Genomic DNA, 22683 nt, shown 5'->3' with positions numbered 1-22683 from the left:
TGACATTTGACTTACGAATATACCATACAAAACTGCTGATTTTGTATTGCTTCCTTCCTAAATCAAAGTAAAATAATAAACTGTCCCAGTGGTTTTGTAGAAAGTTTTTGTTCTTTTTCCCCTTCAATTCCTTTCTGGCACATGATGGACCTGATGATTTCCCCCGTTTTTCTTTAAGATTGTACTTAATAAGTACTCATTAAATGGCAGCTATCATGTTCAGGTAAGGTTCTGAGAGCCTTATATGCAGTTCTCTAATACTTAAATCCCAAAGTATAATATTGTCTCTAATTAAATGGAGAAACAAACTGAGATGAAGGTAAGTACTTGTAGGTCTTACCAAGCAGCAGAGGCAGAATTTGAGCCTAGGTGGGCGATACAGAGCAGTAAGCTCCTTGTGAGGAGGGATTGTCTTGTCATTGTTTCTCGGCACCTCTCAATCTCAGCACCTCTCAGTGCTTTTGGGGAATGTTAAGGGTTATTCATTCCCACTTTAAAGATAGGCTTATTTGAAGTCCTTGCTGTTTTTAGGTAGGCAAGAATGACTTCTTTTATACACAAGGGTGATTTCTATTTTGTTTTATTGTAGTGGTTTAATATATGCTGCCCCTTACCACACTTGGTTCTGGGACCTAGTCATTTCCTTCTTTATCTGGTGTGTGTAGTTCAGAACTGGAGCTCCAGATGTCAGTTCTTGCTTGCAGTCTGCAGGTCTGGATGCCATTACTTGTTTCATGCAGGGTACTAATTTTGTAACATTTCAGTTTCTTTATTTGTAAAATAGGACTAATGGGCAATGGTTTATATGACTCCTTGTCACATTTAAATTTTACAAAATGAGTAAAGTACCTTGCAAATTGTGTTTATTACTGTAATTTACCTCCAAGTTAATGATCTGAAGCTAAACCAAGCCTTTTTGGAGGACCAAATCTAAATAAGTCCGTAAGAAATTAGGGGGGTACATACTGGACAAATGAGATTTACCTGTTGCAAACATAGCAACATGTTTGTAACATACCTGTTCCTCTACCAAATACTGTAGGTGGTTGTAACAAAATGGTAAATATTTGTGTGTCTAAAAATATCCAAACATAGAAAAATCACAGTAAATATGTGGTATTATGTAATCTTATGGCACCACTGTTGTATTTCTGGTCAGTTGTTGAACAGAATGTCACTAGTGCAATATGTGGCTGTATTTTTTGTTTGTTTGTTTTTTTGAGACGGTCTCCTTGTGTTACCCAGACTGGAGTGCAGTAGTATTATCACGGCCTGCCACAGCCTCGTCCTCCCAGGCTTAAGTAATCTTCCACCTCAGCCTTCTGAGTTGCTGGGACCACAGGTGTGCACCGTCCTGCCTGGCTAATTTTTAAGTTTCTTACAGAGACAAGGTTTCTGTACCTGTGTTGCCTGGGCTGGCCTCAAACTTCTGGGATCAAGTGATTCTTTTGCCTTAGCCTCCCAGCAGCAGAGACTACAGGCATCCACCACCGTGCCTGGCTTTATTTTTTTGCAGGTGATTTCTTTCAGTGTTCTGAAAGTTCTGTACCAGAGGAAGGATTGAATTTTTAAAAAATGTTTTGGGTTTTTTTTAGCCTTTCTTTGTGTGCGTATGATATTAAGAATTTAGAAGAAAAATTAATTTCCGGCCAGGCACAGGCAGTGGTCCACGCCTGTAATTGCAGTACTTTGGGAGGCCGAGGTGGGCGGATCACTTGAGGTCATGAGTTCAAGACCAGCCTGGCCAACAAGATGAAACTCCATCTCTACTAAAAATACAAAAATTAGCCGGGTATGGTGGTAGGCATCTGTAATCCCAGCTACTCTGGAGGCCAAGGCAGGAGAATCGCTTGAGCCCAGGAGGTGGAGGTTACAGTGAGCCGAGATCGTGCCACTGCACTCCAGCCAGGGCAACAGAGCAAGGCTCTGTCTCAAAAAAAAAAAAAAAAAAGAAAAGAAAAATTGCAAAATGTTTTTAGTTTAAGTTTTCCTTTAAGGACTATTCTTGATAGATATTTTAGGAATGAATTTTTAAATGTAAATATAAAACAACAACATACAGGTTTTTGGGTTTTTTTTTTGAAATGGACTCACTATTAGTTGGGCTGGAGTGCAGTGGTGCAATCTTGGCTCACTGCAACCTCTGCCCCCTGAGTTCAAGCGATTCTCCTGCCTCACCCTCCCAAGTAGCTGGGATTTTACAGGTGCGCACTACCACACCTGGCTAATTTTTGTATTTATAGTACAAATGGAGTTTCACCATGTTGGCCAGGGTGGTCTCGAACTCATGACCTCACGTGAGCCACCGCGCCCAGCCGATTGTTTTTGTTTTTGTTTCTCTATGTGGTATTTGCGTGTAGAGTTAAATACATTTTCACATAAAATGAAAAGTCATTTAACTTAAACAGTGAATAAGTTGGTTGTATACTCTGTGATTAAAATTGTCGTGAATTTGTTTTCAACCTTGAAGACATCCATTAGCCTTTTTGTTTTTCCTGTTAAAGTCATACATGTTCTCTATTTTATTTCAGTACCTTAGGACTGAATATCAAAGGTTTTATGTGAAAAATCTTGATTAGTTTTACAGAAATGAAGGTATGGCCATGGTTAGAAAAGACTAGTGTATTTCAGGATTTGATAGGGATATTAAATTGGGTTTATAATTCTAGTTTCACACTAGGAGTTAATCTGTTAAGATGGAATCTTCGAGTTCATATTCACTACCGGCTATGAAAACATAACTTTTAGCAGTGTAATAGTGTAATTCCCACTTGTGTTTTAAAAATTAAGTAATATATGGTAGACATAAGTAATTGGTCAAGTCAGTACAGAATATTCTATAAGGAAAACATTCTGTAATTCATTGCGTAGAGAAAACTTTTGGCCTCTGGGTTCTTAGCTGAAGCCAAAGAGGCATTAAACTTTTTTTGAAGTTGAGGTGGTGATACCTATGAAGTGTGTAGAACTGCTCAGTACCAGGATTCAGAAGACTGGTTCTTCAACAAATTACTTGGAACTTTCTTCATTTGGATTTGTCTGCAAAGTATAAGGGGTTGAACTTGATCATCTCCGAGGGTCCCTTCCAGCCCTCTGGTTTTATTGATACCTGGCAGAGGGAGAGATCCTGTATCCATCATATGTTAATCTTTTATTTACTTTCAGGAAATTAAAGTTCAAATGTTTTACAAAGCCTGGCCTCTTTTTAAAAAGATGAATTTATGCTTTAACAGCAGGGAGTAATTTGATAAACAGCTTTGTTCTTACCTGCTATTCTTCCTCTTATATCTCAAGAATTATCGACAAATAGGCTGTTGGCTGATAATGGTGCTGGTTGACCAGCACTGAAGATGTTGGGGAGCATTGTTAAGGTTACCTAGGTGACTCTAGGTCAAAACAACTAGCCTGACTTAGTTTCATTTGAATGACTTAACACTCCATGACATACAGTAGGCGTTTAATAGCAGAAGGTGGGCAGGTGACAACTACTAACCTTGTTTATAATACTATTCTTTGCCTTTTAAAGTGAGAGCAGCAGTATCATCCTATTCTCTTGTATCTGTCCTTGCTGTTTGGGTCCAGGTGAAATGGCATTGAGATGATTGAAGTAGAGAAATTTCTAACATGAATTTTGAAAAAGACTGGCCTTTTATTCTTTGATGTGCTGAACTTCTTGGTGTATCGCAGTATACCCAGGAAAGCTCTTTTAAACTATGTCTCCAATTTTTGTGCCCAAAGAATGAGGATCTGAGGTTAGGGGACAGGCATTCATATTTTGACAAAGCTTCCCAGGTGATTGAGATGTTTACCCTTAATTAAAAACATTTCACTTTTGAAAGTATTTTGCCAAAAATTAAGACTCATATAGACAGTGATTTTTATGGTGAAGCCTTTCCCAATATATTAGATTTTATTTTACCACAAGTATTTTTATTCTTTTGAATAAATGTTTATAGTAATAATAATACTTAACATGTACTGAGCACTTGCTACATGATTGGCACTGTATTGAGTAGTTTACATGGATTTATCATTTGATCTTCACAACTGCCATGTGAGTTCTTTATCCTCATTTGATAGATTGAAGCACAGGGGGAAGTATGTATGCACACACTCATATATGCAAGATTATGTACAACTTGTTAGTGTTAGAGTCCAGAATTGAACTTGGGCAGAGACAGTTTGACTTGAGAGCTCTGTACTTAAAGCTGTTATGCTAGAGCAGCCTGTTTAATTCCTTATAAATTGACAATCAGTCTCAATGACAACAAAAATGATTTCTTCCATTCTAAACTCTGGATCCCCCAGTCCTTTCTCAAAGGCAGTCATTATTAACGAAGTATGTTTCATGCATCTTTCCATGAATTTTTAACGTGGACAGTATACAGAAACTTATATACAAGTCTTCTTGGTATACATACACACAAATGAGAGTTTCATATCTTTCCATATCAGTACGCATAAGTTTAACCTTTTCTTCTCTCTCTGCCTGCCTCTCTTTTAATGTTTAATTGTATTTATTTTTTTCTTTCTAAAACTGACTATCCTTAAATTAGTAATTTGAACTTTCTAATTAAAGTTTATTATATTAATTTGGACATATGTGATAGAAACAGTCTTTTTCTACTGAATTGTATCAACAATATAACCCAAAAGAAAACTACTTTCTTATTACAGTATAAGGAATCTCTAAAACAAAATCCAGTACAGTAATAGATTTAATTATGATTAATTTGCATTCTCTTTGGCACCAGTTTCTATAATGTCATATGTTCACTCTCTTTCCCAGTAAATAGAAGTAATGAAAGAACTCCACTTGGAATTTGACTGCAGGCTTACAAAAAATAGTGCAAGATTTTATTTGTGCATGTCGTAATTCTATGATTGTTATGTTGGCTTGTTTTACCAGTTAAACTAATTTTCTGAGTTTCGATATTTTATCTGCACAATCATTTCTTATAGAAAGTTCAGTTTGATTAAGAACTGTTTTGAGCTAAATTTGAGCTAAAAATACTTTCGCAATTTCTTGTTGCTGACAACTCTGTTGAGGTAGGTAACGTACTGGTTTTAAAGGAGAGTAAATTAAAGGTAGAGATTATTTTGTCCAAGGTCACGGCCAGCAGAGCTGCTGTTGAAAATCCAGAATATCTGAGACCATTGCTCAATTTACTCTATTTGAGCTGTTTTCTCCTCATCTTTTCAGTAAGATACTATAGTTTTACAATTTTGTTTGTTTTGTTTAGTTTTGAGGTGGAGTCTCACTCTGTTGCCCAGGCTGGAATCCAGTGGCATGATCTAGGCTCACTGCAACCCCTGCCTCCCGGGTTCGAGCGATTCTCCTGCCTCAGCCTCCCAAGTTGCTGGGTTTACAAATGTGCGCCACCACACCTGGCTAATTTTTGTATTTTCAGTAGAGACGGGGTTTCATCATATTGACCAGGCTGGTGTTGAACTCCTGACCTCAGATGATCCACCCACCTCAGCCTCCCAAAATACTGGGATTACAGGTGTGAGCCACTCCACCCGGCCACGATTTTGTTTGTATTTATTTTTTCATTTGTTATTCACAACAATACTGTGAAGAAGACATGACATACATTGTTAATTCTGTGTCTAAGGAATCCTAGGCTTAGAGGCTGTGATTTGTACAAAGGCAAACTTCTTTAACACCTATTCCGTCACAAGACTTGAGCCATCATCTTTTGACTTGAGGTGTAGTGCCTGTTTAGGCACAATACTAGAATGGGGAAACGAAGACATATTTCTACCTGTGCTCTGTTTTCTTTGAATTGAGAATTTTCTGGCTATTCCGTGAAATCTAAGTTAATTTTATATACTGAGTCCGGGACCACATGGCTTGAATATGTTACACGTACCCTGACATTTTGTTAACACGTTGATCAGTCAGACTTCACAGTTCAGTGAGACATTGCAGCATGGGTGAAGGCTGTAAAATCAGATAGTTTGCAGAAAATTTCCATGTCACCGTAAGTTCCCCTCATTTCTTTTCCATATTGTATTTTGTACATCTGATAAATTTTGTTTATTTTTTTTTCTTTTAGTGAATGGTAGTGTCTAGAAAGGGTATGTCCCTTCAAGAGAGAGGTGCCAATGTCCAACCGGCCTAATAACAATCCAGGGGGGTCACTGCGACGTTCACAGAGGAACACTGCCGGGGCCCAACCACAAGACGACTCAATAGGAGGAAGGTATGTATTTCATGGTAATTTGAAAAGGAATTGGGAATAAAAGAAAAAATATTTTTAAGCCTCCTTGCGAGGTCCAAAACTTGAATGGTTCATTGCATATGGGTAATTTTTCCTGATTTGTGAGCCAGGTACTTAAAAGCAAACTGGAATCCAAAGCAGTTCCTAAATTTTTCCCCAGATATGCTAGACTCAAAGAAGTAGTTCATAGCCACTGACATGATCAGACACCTCATTTAGCATGTGGTGTGTCATGTTTTGTTTGCCCTTTCTCTTCACTTCGTTAAATGTATGTTACAACACATCTTTCACCATTCGTGGTCTTTTTCCTTATGTGTTGACTTAATGATACTTTATGGAAAAGAGGCCTCATTTGTTTTAAGAACTTGAGTTTTAATACTCAGCTTTTGAGCTTTTGTCCTCATCATGCCTTTTGACAGCATAGATATTAACAGGGTAGTGAGGCACTCTGACTTTGTTAGTGAACGAGTTGTCTTATGTTTTTAGTGGTCTGGTGTTTCTTTTTAGTTGGAGTAGTTACATATGAAGTAGTGTGAAGAATCAGATCAGATGTGTTTTCTTGAATGTAATACTCCAAGTCAGATTTAGCCAAGGACTGTCACTTCATGTAAAAAATACTCAGAACTCTTCTTGCAAGGCCTAGTTCTCTAATTTTGGGACTAACATTGATTACGTTTAGCTTGTGATGGATAATTGTTAAATTTTTTTGTTTTTGAGAGTCTCATCGCTCTGTTACCCAGGCTGGAGTGCAGTGGCACTATTTCAGCTCACTGCAACCTCTGCTTCTGAGGCTTAAAAATCCTTCCACCTCAGTCCCCCAAGTAGCTGGGATTACAGGTGTGCACCACCGCACCCAGCTAATGTTTTTTGAGACACAGAGACAAGATTTTGCCACGGTGGCCAAGCTGGTCTCAAACTCCTGACCTCAAGCGATTCACCCGCCTCGGCCTCCCAAAGTGCTGGGATTATAGGTGTGAGTCACTGCGCTCAGCTGCTGAATTCTAATAGGATTATCTCATACAGCAGTTTGCGGCCATAACCATGAATGCATATTATCTAGTAAAGTATTTAAAAATTTTTTAGGCCGGGCGCGGTGGCTCACACCTGTAATCCCAGCACTTTGGGAGGCCAAGGTGGGCGGATCACGAGGTCAGGAGATCGAGACCATCCTGGCTAACATGGTGAAACCCCGTCTCTACCAAAAATACAAAAAAATTTAGCTGGGCATGGTGGTGGGCGCCTGTAGTCCCAGCTACTCGGGAGGCTGAGGCAGGAGAATGGCGTGAACCCGGGAGGCGGAGCTTGCAGTGAGCGAGATCACGCCACTGCACTCCAGCCTGGGCGACAGACAGAGCGAGACTCCGTCTCAAAAAAAAAAAATTTTTTTTTAATGTCAAATGTAAAGAATAAAAGCACATCATGGTGATGTCAGACTATTTAGTGGTTAAGCATAGGGACTTTGGACTAGGGCAGCTTTGCGTGTGATTTCTTTTTGTTTTGTTTTCTTTTTTTTTTTTTTTAAAACAGTTGCTGTCGCCCAGGCTGGAGTGCAGCGGCATGATCTTGGCTCACTGCAACCTCCACCTCCCGGGTTCAAGCGATTCTCCTGCCTCAGCCTCCCAAGTAGCTGGGATTTCAGGCACGCATCATCACACCTGGCTAATTTCTGTATTTTTAGTAGAGATGGTGTTTCACCATGTTGGTCAGGCTGATCTCAAACTCCTGACCTCAAGTGATCCATTGGCCTTGGCCTCAGAGTGCTCGGATTATAGGTGTTAGCCACCGCGCCCAGCCTTTGTGTGTGATTTCTGCCTCTGCCATTAAATAGCTATGTGTCTTTTGTTAAGAGTTTCAGGAAACCTCAGTTTCTTAGTCCACAGAATGGGATAGCTATTTCATAGGATTATTGGTAAACTTCAGTATTTTAGCATGTTAAGCTCTTATCACTTATACTTAGTATATAGAGCTCTGTTCTGAAAATGTTTGCTCTTTTACATTCAGGTTATTCTTTGGAGCAGCCACACTCAACTTCATGTGACTGATTTTAAAATATTATTCCTCCTGTAATAAAAGTGTTACATGTTCATTTTAGATTATTTTGAATATATAGAAAACTAAAAAGAAAAACATAATTCCACACTTATAACGTGTGCTGTTGACATTGGTTACTATTGACATTTCTTCTGTCTTTTAAAAAACTGCGTGTAGATGTACATTATGTATGTGCATGTAAGTAACTTGTACCTTTAGAACAACTGCGGTTTTATGCATATTAATCCTCAGGTTGCATTGGGACTCTTGCATGTGAACTGACAATCATTGTGGGCTATCAACAGCGCATTGCTTCTAAAATCCACAGTGTTTCAGCATGGTCATTTTTTCTATATATCAGTGTTATGTAGATTAAAAAATTTTTTTTAATTTATTTTTTGAGACGGAGTCTTACTCTGTCACTCAGGCCGGAGTGCAGTGCTGTGATCTCTGCTCACTGCAGCCTCTGCCCTCTGGGTTCAAGTGATTCTCCTGCCTCAGCCTCCCAAGTAGTAGCTGGGATTACAGGCGCCTGCCACCTTGCCCGGCTAATTTTTGTGTTTTTAGTAGAGACGAGGTTTCACCATCTTGGCCAGGCTGGTCTTGAACTCCTGATCCAACCGCCTTGGCCTCCCAAAGTGCTGGGATTACAGGCATGAGCCACAGCGCCCAGCCTAAAAAATTTTGTAAATTGTATTATGTTTTTATTTTATTTTTAGAGACAGAGTCTAACTCTATTTTTCTGGCTGTAGTGCAGTGATGGAATCATAGCTCACTGCATCGCAAGTAGTTGAGAAGACAGGCGCCTGCCAGTATGCCCAGCTGTGTATTTAACTTGATGCAAAAGTAATTGTGATTTTTGCAGTTTTTTTTAATAGCAAAAATCACAATTACTTTTGCACCAACCTAGTATCATGTATTTTAAAAAAATGAGTAAGGCCGAGCATGGTGGCTCATGACTATAATCTCAGTACTTGAGGTGGCTGAGGTGGGATGATCACTTGTGGCCAGGAGTTCGAGACCAGCCTGGGCAACATAGCAATACACATCATGTGTCATCACAAGACACATGTAGAAGTTTTCTGTTTCTACAAAAAATAAATTAGCTGCGCACAGTGGAACACACTGATATTTCTAGCTACATAGGAGGCTGAGGTGGGAGGATCGCTTGAGCCGAGGAGTTCAAGGTTTCAGTGAACTATGACTGGGCACGCCAGTGCATTCCAGCCTGGGCGACAGAGAAAGACCCTGTCTCAAAAAATAAATAAGTAATAAACAAAGTAGTGGGACATAAATGGAAGTGGTTAATACTAGCGATTAAGATGTGTTGGTTTAAGTAGCTCAAAGTTGTAACAGAGATGGAACTCGATTAGATTTGTAGAATGACAAATCTTGTTGTAGTTCATGTAGTTTAAGCCAGTCAATAATATGCTCAGTTGTGAAGAGTGTGATCAGGACATAGAAATTTAGAGCTTTAGCCAAAACATCTTATTAGTTTTAAGAATGCAAATGAGATGAGAAGATGCTGGCTCTTCTAAATATCATTTTGCCGTCTTGGCTTGATTCTTTTGCTCATAATAAAATGTCAAGACTGGGAGTAACTTTGAAGGCCTTCTTATCAGCCCCCAGGTTGATATATTTTTGTTTTGTTTTGTTGAGATGGAGTTTTGCTCTTGTCACACAGGCTGGAGTGCAGTGGCATCATCCGGGCTCACTGCAACCTCCTCCCCCTGGGTTCTAGCAATTCTCCTGCCTCTCAGCCTCCTGAGTAGCTGGGATTACAGGCACGGGCCACCACACCTGGCTAATTTTTGTATTTTTAGTAAAGACGAGGTTTCACTATGTCGGCCAGGCTGGTCTTGAACTCCTGACCTCAGGTGATCCACCCACTTCAGCCTCCCAAAGTGCTGGGATTACAGGCATGAGCCACTGCACCTGACCCAGATTGACTTTTGAAACCCCTATAGAGTGTACTGTTCTAGCAATTATCTAAACTCTCAGAAACCTTTCCAGGGAGTTTTGGGAGTGAGAGGATTGGGATTAATTGGGAGAGAACAATTACAGCTATATATTTATTCTCTTCATGTGACTCGTTTAGCCTTCCTAAGTAAAATGCTGTCATTGTAGCCTTCGTTTCCTGAAAATGGTTGACTTGCCCCATAAAGGTATTCACAGTGATACAGTGATTCAACTAATGATAATAATAGCAGTTACACAACAGCATTAATGGAGTGTTTTAAGTTTAAAAAATTATTACACATTCTTTCAGTTGAAACTCAGAAATTAAATATGTAATCTCTCTTACAAATGTGGAAGCTTGCTCAACTTTGTATAGCTAGTGTGTAGTCAGGACTTGTTTCCAGACCTCTTGACTGTAAAGTCAGTGTACCTTTTCATTATGCCAGAGTGTTTCATTGCAGCCCACTGGATCCGTATGATGAGGGAGTGTTAGAAGAGGGTATAAACTTTAGTTTTGAATTTAAGTAGCACTTTTCTCTCCTAGGATTTGTGCTAGGATTCATTTTTGACCCACTCTGTTTTTTTCTAAACCTCTGCATTAAGCTGTCTTCTTTGTGTAACCTCCTTCCAGTGACCTCTTGTGCCTTTCTCCCAAATCAAGATGGTTTCTTTTTAAAAATAGTTTAAATTCATTCTTAAGATAAATGAAAGTAGAGTCTGAGGATATATTTAATCCCTTTTAATTTTACCTCTGCTCTCCTTTTCACCCATCCTTCATCACTATCCACAGTTGAACTAGGCATCTTATTCCTCTTCTATTATTTTTCTTAGCCCCTTTCCTCTCTAATTTTTTGGATTGTAGCTGACCTGTTCCTCTCTTTTCTGTTCTCTTTTTCTTCTATAGGAAATCACTCCTTTCCACTGCTTCTCTGTTGACTTGCTCTCAGGGATACTACCTAGCCTTTTCCAGTTCTAGCACAGGTATTTGTAGGCTACCACCTCCCTCTTGGCAATGCAGTAGCGTTTTTATTATACCGTGTGCTTTTTCTTGTTTTTCTCAAGTGGCAGTGGTAGGATTGAATTTAATTTTATAGCAACTTTAAGATTGCTTTAGTGGTAGTGTCTTCAAGGTTGATTTAACTATATAAACAGTGCATATTGAGAATAGAAAATTGGGACGCTTCAGGAAAATTAAAGAAAACAATTTTAATCCTACCACTCAGAGATAACCATGGTTAATATTTCTAGTCTATGTTCTTACAGTCTTTTCTATACGTGTAGCTTCTTTTTGTTTTTTTCAAAATTCCACAGAGATCAATATATGTATACTTGCAACATACAAATAATAGGGATGATGTTATCACTAGATGTATTTTCTGGAATTCTGTAACATTCTTCCATGAGGTAATTTAAAGTGGCTCCATGATTTTCTTTAATATAAAAGCCCATGATTTAAATTTGGGCCTCTAGGTTTTTTCCTCAGATTTTTGCTGTAAAAAATATTGCTTATGCCTATCATATTTGAATGTGAGCTGGTTTTATCAAGTCGAATTCTTGAAAATGGGTTTACAGAATCTAAGGGTATGAATATTTTGAAGACTTTTGTCTTTCAGAAATCTTGGGCCAATTTAATACTTCTAATACTTCATGAGAGTCCTCATTTTGCCAAATCCTAGTCAATAGAGCATACCCTTTTTAAAAAGAAAAGTTTGTGGGGAAAAAGAATTCCTTGGTTTAAAGTTAGCATTTCTTCGTTTACTATAGAGTGGAAAAATTTGCTCCGTGGGCCATTTTCATTTATTTTCTGAGCTGTTTGTTAGCGTCTTTTGTCTAATTTTGGAGATACTTACTCTTTTATTAGGGCCCTTTATGTGAAAGGTGTTGATTCACTAACATGGACAAATTTTTTTTCTGTTTTTTTTTTATGGTTTATTTTAATTTCTACAACATTTTAAAATCAGATAATTAAGTCTACCAACTCTGTTTTTCTTCCTTTGCCTTCTCCATGCTAAGAATAAATTTTTCCTCAGCTTTGTTATGGACCCGTTTTTACATCTGACTAGAATCTGTCTGAAGTTTTTGAATGATGAGAGGAAATGCTTGTATACAGTTGCCTACTTCTCACCCCCATCAAAAAATTTGCCTGCAAAGTTTTAATAATTATGTATTACTCAGTAAAAACTCAATTGTGAGAAATATAGGATATAGCCTTCTATTTATTATTTTTCTTTACATTTTTAGAGCAGAGATTTTTTTAAACCCCCATTAGTTATATAGAAAGAAATAGAGTTGTGTTTTCACTTAAAAAAACTATTTCAAAGGATTGGGATGCAGAAAAGTACAAAAAGAAAATAAGAACTATTCAGAGAAAAGTCTGTGTTAACTTTTTTTATCTGTACACTTTGGCAGATCACACTGTGTGTACAGTTTGGTATCCTGCTCTTTTCTCTCAATACCCTAACATTAACATTGCCCATGTCATTGTGATCTTTTGGTAATCATTTACAAATGGTGGCCACATTATTCACTGAATGAGTATACAGTATTTTCCATGGCTACTTTTTTCAGTTTTTGGATAGTTAGGTAGGTTTAGGAGAAATTGTTTTTGCTTATGCTCCAAATGTTCACATTTCAGGTATCTCTTCAGGATAGATTCCCTGAAGTGAAACTGCTTGGTCCAAGGGACTTTTTTATGAATAACTTTGTTGTGCATTAATTTTTTACTTCCTGTTCACATTATCACCATCAGGGGAAAGAGTGCTTTTTCTCATTGTTCTAGTCACGTTATCTCCATTTTGCATTTTTCTGCTAATTTGATAAAGAAGAAAACCCTTATTCTTGTTTTATTGCTGTTTCTCTAGTAATGAGGTCACATTGAAAAAGTAGGTTTAAAGAATGAGTCTGGCTGAGAATAATTTTTGATGCAGTCTCCTTCTATTATTTTTTTCTTTGTATTTGTTATTAATCTCCCTTTGTACCACTGTACAGGAGAACTGACTTTTTAATTGGTTTAGCTGATACTTACCAGTTTATTGTGTAAAAACTACAGTCCTATTCCTTAAAGGCTGGCTTGGAGAAGTATAAGTCAGTCTCAAAGAAGCTTTAAAACAGTTGGCAAGACAGGAGTTACCCATTAGAAGATAAATGACATACACTGGTTAGGAAAGTAGACTTGAGTCTTGTAAGTCCTGTAAGTTTATAGGGATACTTAAGAGTTTGTAGAAGGTGCAGAGTTTAACAGACTCTTAAAAGACAGGAAGATTTTAGAGTAAGAGGACATTTTTGACAGCTTTGTATTTGTATTTTTGTTCATTTCTTTCTTTTTAAGGATAGAATTATTTTACATACCGTAATGTGACTTGCTGTCTTCATTAACTGTTTCATAGGCATCTTTTTCTTTATTTTTTTTGGAGACAGAGTCTTGCTCTGTCTCACAGGCTGGAGTGCAGTGGTGGGATCTTGGCTCACTGCAACCTCTGCCTCCCGAGTTCAAGCAGTTCTCCTCCTTCAGCCTTCTGAGCAGCTGGGACTACAGGTGCCTGTCACCACAGCTGGCTAATTTTTGTATTTTTAGTAGAGACAGGGTTTCACTTTGTTGGCCAGGCTGGTCTCAAATTCCTGGGCTCAAGTGATCTGCCCCTCTTGGCCTCCCAAAGTGCTGGGATTACAGGCATGAGCCACCACACCCAGACTCTTCTTTTTTTAAAAGAGAGATGGGGGTCTCGCTATGTTGCCCAGACTCGTCTCAAGCTCCTGGCCTGAAGCAGTCCTCCTGCCTTGGCCTGCCAAAGTGCTGGGATTACAGGCATGAGCCACTGCACCTGGCCTTAATATAGGCTTCTTTTTTTTTTTTTTTTTTTTTTTTTTTTACAATATCTGTCATTAAAACTATATTATCAGTTTTAATGTCTCTATAATTTTCCGTTATGTAGATATATCAATTATGCATATATGTAATCACTCCTTTCATCATTTGGTTTCAGGTTTTTGCCATAGCAAATGATGCCACACCTGAACATTCTCACTGTCATCGTGAACTTGTACTAGTACTTCTCTAGTACTAGTTAGTACTAGCTAGGTTATTGCAAGTGGAATTGCTGGGTTGAGTATGTTTTCAAATATTTACTCTTCTAGAAAATTGTCTTCTATAAGACTACTTTCATTTGCATATAATTACTAGTTGATTATACTAGGATTATTGATTTTCCTTATTAATATTTTGTTTTTGTATTTTCTAATTTCAAATTATATTAGGCTTCAGCATTGCTGTAAAGGAATACCTGAGACTGGGTAATTTATAAAGAAAAGAGGTTTAATTGGCTTATGGTTCTGTGGGCTGTACAAAAAGTGTGGCGCTGGCATCTGCTCCTGGTGAGGGCCTCAGGGAGCTTAAAATCACGGCAGAAAGCAAAGCCAGCATACCACATGGCAAGAGTGGGAGCAAGGGGTGGGGAGGGGTGGCAGGCACACACTTGTAAACAACCAGATCTCAAGTGAACTCAGAGCAAGAATTCATTCACCCCAAGGGCATTGGCATTAAGCCATTCATGAGGGATCCATCCACCCCAGTGATTCAAACACCTCCCACCAGGCCCCATCTCCAACATTTCAACATGAGATTTGGATGGGACAAACATATAAACCATATTACTAATGTCTTTTAATTTTCTAATATTGCAAAGAAAATTGGGAAGAAACCATACTTATGTTTGGATTAGGATCTCTTCTCTTTTCTTTCTTCTTTTCTTTCCTTTCCGGTCCCCTCCCCTCCCCTCCCCTCTCCTCCCCTCTCTTCTTTTCTTGACAGTGTCTTGCTCTGTTGCCCAGGCTGAAGTGCAGTGGTGTGACCTTGACTCACTGCAACCTCTGTCTCTCAGGCTTAGGTGATCCTCCTGCGTCAGCCTCCTCTTGCCTCAGCCTCCCGAGTAGCTGGGACTGCAGGTGTGCACCACCATGCCTGCCTAATTTTGTATTTTTAGTAGACACAGGGTTCCACCACATTGGCCAGGCTGAGCTCAAGTGATCCTCCCCCTCAGCCTCCCGTAGTGCTAGGATTACAGGTGTGAGCCACCGTGTCTAGCCGGATTAGGATGTTTTCTAGTGAAATAATGAAGCCACACTCAAGAAGGACTCAGGACAAGCTGTCAGTGTACCAATCAACTTAACTTTCCTTTTCTTGATTTTTGAAAGAAGTATACCGCAAAAAAATAAATAAATAAAATGCCAAACTTAATTCCTATCTACTGATTTCAGAGACTAAAACTTGATAGTTTTTACTCTATGCTTAACTACTTAAAATACCTTGCAATTTCCTTCTTTAGTAATTTTGATCATGCCATTTTCCTTTTAAAATGCTTGCCTTCTGTATTCTAGACCTTATCTTACTGAAATTCTGCCAGTCTTTCAAGATCCATTCAAAAGTTTCCACATCAATGTAGTTTATACTCTTTTCCAGTCTTAGAAATCTTATACAGATCCCAAAGCACTGTAACATTTTGGAGATCCCCGGGAACTACAGACTCAGTATCTGTCTGGCTGCCTCCTCTCTGTTCATCTGTCCTTACGTTACTGCTTCTTGCTACCATGTCATGTCCATCCAGGCAGATCTCACCATCTCTTTGTACACCATGTTTATTTCTTTCCCTGTGCCTTAAGGCTTAACTTTTAGGCCTCTCATCTTCTGAAGCTAGATCAAGCCCTCTTTCATTTTGAATTATTAAAAAGATTATACCATTTTCATGGAGGTGGCAATAAATAATGTTCTTCATGGTTTTTGTTGTGCACGGCACCTCTCCTTAAAACAGTAGTCTTGTGGAATGGCTTCCCATGCGTTTTGATGGGTAGTTACTCTGTTCTAATACAGTTTTACTCTGATCCTGTTAGCTATTCCTTAACCTTTGGTGAAAGCTAGGGGAATCGACGTACTCCCTCTTTCTGAGCACAGTGATAAGCCTGGTGTGGTCACATGATCAAGATGAGAAAAGTTGGAAGATTTAGCTTTTTTCTTTCTGGTGACAAAGATGGGAAGATGTGAATCTGAAGTTGCCAACTACTGTGTATGTGCCTTATGGAGGAAGATGGACAGGCAGAGAAGAGCAAAGAGTATGTGTGTGCTAACGTTCTGGCAAGTTTAAATTCGTTAGTAGTTCTTTAAAGTTGTGTTGACTCTTAGCCTTTTCTAGGATTGATTATTCCACTGTTGTTCTGATTCTGGAGATAATGCATGTGTTATTTTAATAATGCCTCTTTTGGCATTTTAGAGTTCTGCCTTAATACAACATCAGTATAAGATTATATTCATTCATCTGTTGAACACCACGTTAGTAAGCACCGTGCTCTATAGTAGTTATAGAAATGAGGGTAGGGTAGGGTTTTTCTTTTCCTACCAGGGAAAGAACCCAGAAAGCAACCCAGCTCGGTAGGGGGAATGGGGATACAGGTTGTTACTAGAGTCAGATGAGAAACATTTCTAGAGATGACCTCATTGATCTGGGCTCTGAGGCTGAAGCAACAGTTGCAAAGCAGGTGTGGTATATGTCAACTATATTTGTCTTTGACATGTGGTCTCATTAATTCCTTTCACAGTCTGGGTTTTATTTCGAAGTTGCGTGTATTGTGTTAATTTGCTGGTAAGTGGTAGGTGTTCAACAATTACTAGTATGGGTTAGAAAAGGATATTTGTTTCCTTGGAATTTCTGGGCACAGAAATGTGACTTTCTTTTTTACTGAAATGATGAAAACATGATTGGAGTAAGGAAGGGTTGAAATAGGGCATAGTTAAAATGGGCTATGTAGCAAGGTGGGTTAGATAATACTACAGGAAAAAACATCTCCTAGATATTAGTGGTTATAATCTAGCCACTAAAAAGGTTGTCTGTCCAGGTCAGTGGTAAGCTCTGCTCCATGCCTGCACATTCAGATATTCAGATACCTTGCTGTGTTGTCAAGTAAGAGAATATGGTGAACTGTACTCTTGAATCTCCAAAACTTCCCCCAGCAGTGATTCACTTCTGTTCACATTCCCTTGGCTGAAGCAAGTCACATGGCAGTACGTGCTTCCAAGTGGTTGGACAAGTACCATCCTACCTTGCATCTAGAAAAAGGAAAAACAGAATATTCTTGAGATGTAGCTGTCATAGGATGTTTATACGTTATTTTGCATTCTTATTTGCATCTCTATGATAGTTTGTTTCCCTAAAGCCTACTTAGTGAAACTTAGCCACTGGTCCCGTGTGTTTTCTTCATTCGTCTGTTTAACCGGTGTGAGTGCCTTCCTTTTATATTCTTTAATTCTTATTTCTTTCCTGTCTCTTTTTTTGTCCTCTCATTTGTTCAGTCAGAAGCAAGTTCAAACTGCTTCTTGTTTGGGAGGAGGAGAATGTTATGGGGAGACATGATGTGATGCAAAAATAATTTAATGCCTCTTATGACTGAATTTGAGCCACTTTTTAAAGGTATTTATACTAGAATTGGTTGGGCGCAGTGTCTCATGCCTGTAATGTCAGTACTTTGGGAGGCTGAAGCAGGCAGATCGTTTGAGCCCAGGAGTTCAAGAGCAGCCTGGGCAAAATGGCGAAACCCTGTCTCTACTAAAAATACAGTAAATTAGCCAGGTGTGGTCGTAAGTGTCTGTAGTCCCAGCTACTTGGGAGGGTGAAGTGGGAGGATCACCTGAGCTCAGGAAGTTGAGGCTGCAGTAAGCCAAGATTACACCGCTGCACTCCAGCCTGGACTAGAGACCCTGTCTCAAAAAATAAATGAATGAATGAATGAAAGTAAGTATTCTAGAATCGGCTGGGTAATTTGTAACTTGCTCTTTTCAGCAATAGTAAATCTTACTGCTCTAATTAGGCAGCCTGGAGTTTTAGCTGTGGAGACCTGTGTGCCTGCTGCATTGGTAATGCTGAAACTAGTCTGTCCCATCAGGCCTTGGGATCAGGAGGCAAGATAATATGGTGCTGTATTCAACAATGGCATGGTTGCCTTGGTCTAAGGAGAAGCAGAGGCTACTTTTCTGTAGTTGGAAGTTAGAAACATTTGATTCTTAGTAGTACCCGTGTTAAATTTTTTGGGGGGGCCTACAAAGTAATAGTTTATATGTTTTCTATTAGTAATTTCCTTTGCACTATGCTTTATTTTAATCAAGTTTGGAATTGAGTCAAAGTCACATCATAAGCATACTGGAAAACCTATAAGAAATTGTCAGCTGCCATAGATTGTCTCATATCCCTCACTGAGGATTTGCTTTCATTCTTCTGATACTCCAAACCACTTTTAAAAAGCTTTCCCAGTCTTGGAATGCCTTCTTAAAAGTGTTCAGTGTCACTTAAAAATATATATACAAATGATTCTTATACTAACTGCAAGCTTTTTTATCACATTTGGAAGGCTGTTTTCTTGTAATACAGAGAGAAAAAGAAGGCAGAGGGCTCCTTTTTAGAAAATTAATAGTGGTGTTTTCCTCCCTTTTTCTCATATACTATCTCTAAAGTCTTCAGACATTTATTTTGGCCGGGCACAGTGGCTCATACCTGTAATCCCACAACTTGGGAAGCTGAGGCAGGAGGATCATTTGAGGTCAGAAGTTCGAGACCAGCCTGGCCAACATAGTGAAATCCCATCTTTACTAAAAATATAAAAATTAGCCAGGCATGGTGGCAGGCACCTGTAGTCCTAGCTACTCAGGTGGCTGAGGCAGGAGAATCTCTTGAACCCAGGAGGCAGAGGTTGCAGTGAGCTGAGATCATGCCACTACACTTCAGCCTGGGTGACAGAGTGAGTATCTGTCTCAAAAAAAAAAAACAAACAAACAAACAAAAAAAAACCTTCCCTGTCTGACCATAGCCTACACTTAAAAAAAAAAACAAAAAAAAAAACCCTCTATGTGTGTGTGTATATATATATACTTTGCTTATTTCAGTAGCTTTCAGGGTACAAGTAGTTTTTGGTTACATGAATGAATTGCATAGTGGTGAACATCCTTTCATCCATATTTTCTGATGTATCTCCATGTTCAGGGCAATTTATATCATTTGCCAGTTACTGTATGGGCTTTAAAATTTCCTGCCTCTGCCTTTGCCTGTATTCTGCTTTTGACTGGAAAGCTTTTTTTCCTCAGCTTTTCATCCTTCAGGGCCAGGTTTAAATGGTGTGGCCTATAAAGCTTATATTCTCCTGCTAAAAGTATTCGTTGGAAACATCTATGGAGAGTACCTGGTAGATTACTTTGTTTTATGAGACTCTGACCTCTTTGAGGACAGGGACTAGACTGTTACCTATATTTATGTGCCCTGTTGGGACTTGCATATATTTGTTGGTGGCAAACCTAACATCTTTTGAAATGAGTAGCTTAGTACAATGGTTCTCAACTCTATCAGAGGCAGTGCTCCCTGTCTATAATGTATATCATATAAATATTTTTATTATGCTCTTTTAATATCTTCAAATAAATGAAGAAATAAAATACCTGCCTACACACAGTTTAGAAATATTGATATAATGTCTTAGCATTTTACAAAGATAAACAAAAGGAAAATAGTTGATAACAAAAATAACATCTCAATAGGTAAATGCTTGGACACAGTGACACAAAATTATAGTGCATCTGTATTTGGAGTCACTGAATGTGACAGTTACAACAATGGACTTAAATGCCATAAGCAGCATTTTCATCATAGGCATTAAAAACGGTGCCTGACTCTTGGTAAAGCTGCCAAAAAAATAGTATAATCGCTTGTCGTTGCATTCTTGGAAAATTTAATATGTAAGAACTGTGCAAAACAAATCTGAGAAATTGCAAGCACGTTTTTCACCTATGTCACTGCCACACTGTCAGGGCTTTTCATAAGGTTTTCATATATTACCAAGACTGTTTGAAATACATGGGGCATGGGACAGTTGGGTCTTTTTGTTCTGTATGTTGCTCATCTTTACCTCTAATCCACACCTGCTAAATGGGAATAGCACTGCCGCTTCCCAGTGTATGTTTCCAGAATGCTTCCTAGGGGCAGTATTTTTGCTGTTTAGAAATACTGCTTTACTTTAAATTATAGAATCATTTGGGCTAGTGTTTCAGTGTAACTAAAGATAGGAACATTGATCAGATGAATCAAGCTTCTTTTTGTAATAGAAATAGAAAAACAGTGCGTTTTACAGGGAACATTAGTGAGTTACTTATTTAAAGTGGTTTAAAGTGAACTTTCCACCATTAATTATTGAAAATCAATGGCTCTTTTAAAACATGGATTTTCCAGCATTTGAAATAAAATATCTAATTTTTAGAAGACAAAACTATAATGTTATAATTGTGTATTTAAAGTAGAAAAGCATAAAAATGTGTCTGTATACACATATACACAAACAAATTTAGAGTTGTAATTAAACCCACAATCCATTTATATTTGGTAATATATGCATGTATATTATGTAATACATGCATATATTACCAAATATAAGTGGTAATGTGTGTGTATATTATATATATGCATATCATATAAGCTGTGAATATGTCTAGCATAAAAATTAAATTCAGGCAGTGTAATACCTATAATAGGAATTAACTAGCTACTTGTAACTAGCCACTTTCCTCATTTTTCCTAACATTGAGACAGCATTTTGCTTTCTTTCTTTCTTTTTTTTTTTTTTTTTTTTTTTTTGTAGTTGAGAGAGGATCTCACTCTATTGCCCAGGCTGGAGTGCAGTGGTGCAACCATAGCTCACTGCAGCTTTGACCTGCTAGGCTCGAGTGATCTTCCCCACCCCAGCTTCCCGAGTAGCTAGGAATACAGGTGTGTACCACTACACCCTGCTAATTTTTGTATTTTTTGTGGAGACAGTGTTTCACCATGTTGCCCAGGCTGGTCTGTTTGAACTCCTGAGCTCAAGCAATCCACCTGCTTTCAACCTTCCAAAGTGCTGGGATTACAGGCATGAGCCACCACACCTGGCCCAATATTGTGCTCTTGATATAAAGTTTAGGTCTCTTTTAGATGTCCTCTGGACTAGAGATGGTTTTTAATTCTGTGGACTACTGTAAAGGATTTGACTAAATAGCAGTACAAATGTAGGTGGAAGGGTACAGTCAATACTATGTGCCTAAAAGTTAACACTCAGAGGCATTTGAGGCTTCATAACCCAAATGATCTTGAAAGCACATAATGATCTTGAAAGCACATAACCCAGAGTTGATTATAGTCTGTTCTGTTGCAGTGTTGGTTTCTTTAATGTGAATTGGCCCATACACACTTGGTAAATAGAGAAATAATGTCAATATAACGTGGAAGTAGTGTTGGTTCATAAGCAGTTTTTCCCACAGTGCTAATGTATAAACTGAAAATGGGGAAAGACCTTTCAATTAAAGAGGAAGGTTTGGTAATATTTGAAGACATTACACCAAAAAAAAAAAAAAGTTGAAAATCTGGCAGAAATAATTTAGTGAAAGAAATAGCTATTCCAGTGGTTTCTAAAACCACCATACCTTGTACTGTCAAAAGCAGTCTCAACAAGTTCAAAACCATTTACTCCTTTGTTTCTAAAGGAAGAAGATAACAGGAAAGTCTACCCAAGAATAATTATATTTTTAATTTTTTGAAGCTTTTTAAAAAATGCCTTTAAAAAGTTACACTTAAAAGGAGAAAATACAAAAATAAGTCTCAAGTGGATTTATTGGTGCAAATTTTATTGGGAGATTTAATTTTTTATTAAAATTGATGTGATTTTGCTGGGATGCTCATTACAAAATAACATAGGTTTGTGTGCTCTGGGCCCATCTTATTTTTAACATATCAGCCCGGTTATTTTTAGTGGATAATTTTGCAGAGACATGAGTTTTTTTTTCAGGAATACCCATATGTTGTTATAGAAGCTCCTGAACACATGTGTGCACGTGTGCGCGTGCACACACACACACACACACACACACACACACTCTCTCTCTCTCTCTCTCTCTCTCTCTCTCTCTCTCTCTCTCTTTCACCCAAATCTTTGGGCTATAATTTACTAAATGACCTCATTCTAGTGCTATTTAAAAGAGTTTGTCATGCATTTTACTATACTGTTCTACAAATTTTATTTATAGTGGATATAAATTTTACTAGGTTTTAAAAAGATTATGCTTTTTAATAAAAACTAAAGTTGAAGGATTAAGGCTTGCTAAATTAGAGAGGTGGTAAAATGAGCTAAAAGGAGGCGTCCAAGGCTCCTTTACCTCTGAATACTGTGATGTTCTAATTGGCTATTCCAGATTGGACATCATTATTTTATGGAGATTTACTTTGCAGCATTTTTGAGCATTAATAATTTATAAGTGGACATAATAAAATAGAGCTCCATTTTGGGAGGCCCCATATTGTCACTTCATGGTACCATCTGGTTGTCTATTCCTTGTTAGCCAGGGTTGAAAACTATAGCGCATGGGCTGAATCTGGCTCACTGCCTGTTTTTGTAAATAAAATTTTGATTGAAGTATAGC

At 38.3% G+C, this 22683-nt stretch overlaps 1 protein-coding gene across 61 annotated transcripts in view; it reads left to right on the top strand.

Annotated features, from left to right (window-relative positions):
- The window catches only part of TRIP12 (thyroid hormone receptor interactor 12), a 159350-nt gene that overhangs the window by 36999 nt on the left and 99668 nt on the right, over positions 1 to 22683 (top strand). For all 61 annotated transcript variants that reach the window (NM_001284216.2, XM_047446397.1, XM_047446395.1 and 58 more), the window contains one exon: positions 6060 to 6206. In NM_001284216.2, coding sequence (NP_001271145.1) covers positions 6109 to 6206 — 98 coding nt within the window. In that variant the 5' untranslated portion in view covers positions 6060 to 6108. The remainder of the gene's footprint in view (positions 1 to 6059; positions 6207 to 22683) is intronic.

Source organism: Homo sapiens, chromosome 2 (assembly GCF_000001405.40).
Source record: "Homo sapiens chromosome 2, GRCh38.p14 Primary Assembly".
NCBI classification, from domain to species: domain Eukaryota; kingdom Metazoa; phylum Chordata; class Mammalia; order Primates; family Hominidae; genus Homo; species Homo sapiens.
Note: the sequence above shows the minus strand (reverse complement) of the source record. Positions and strands in the feature narration are given on the sequence as shown.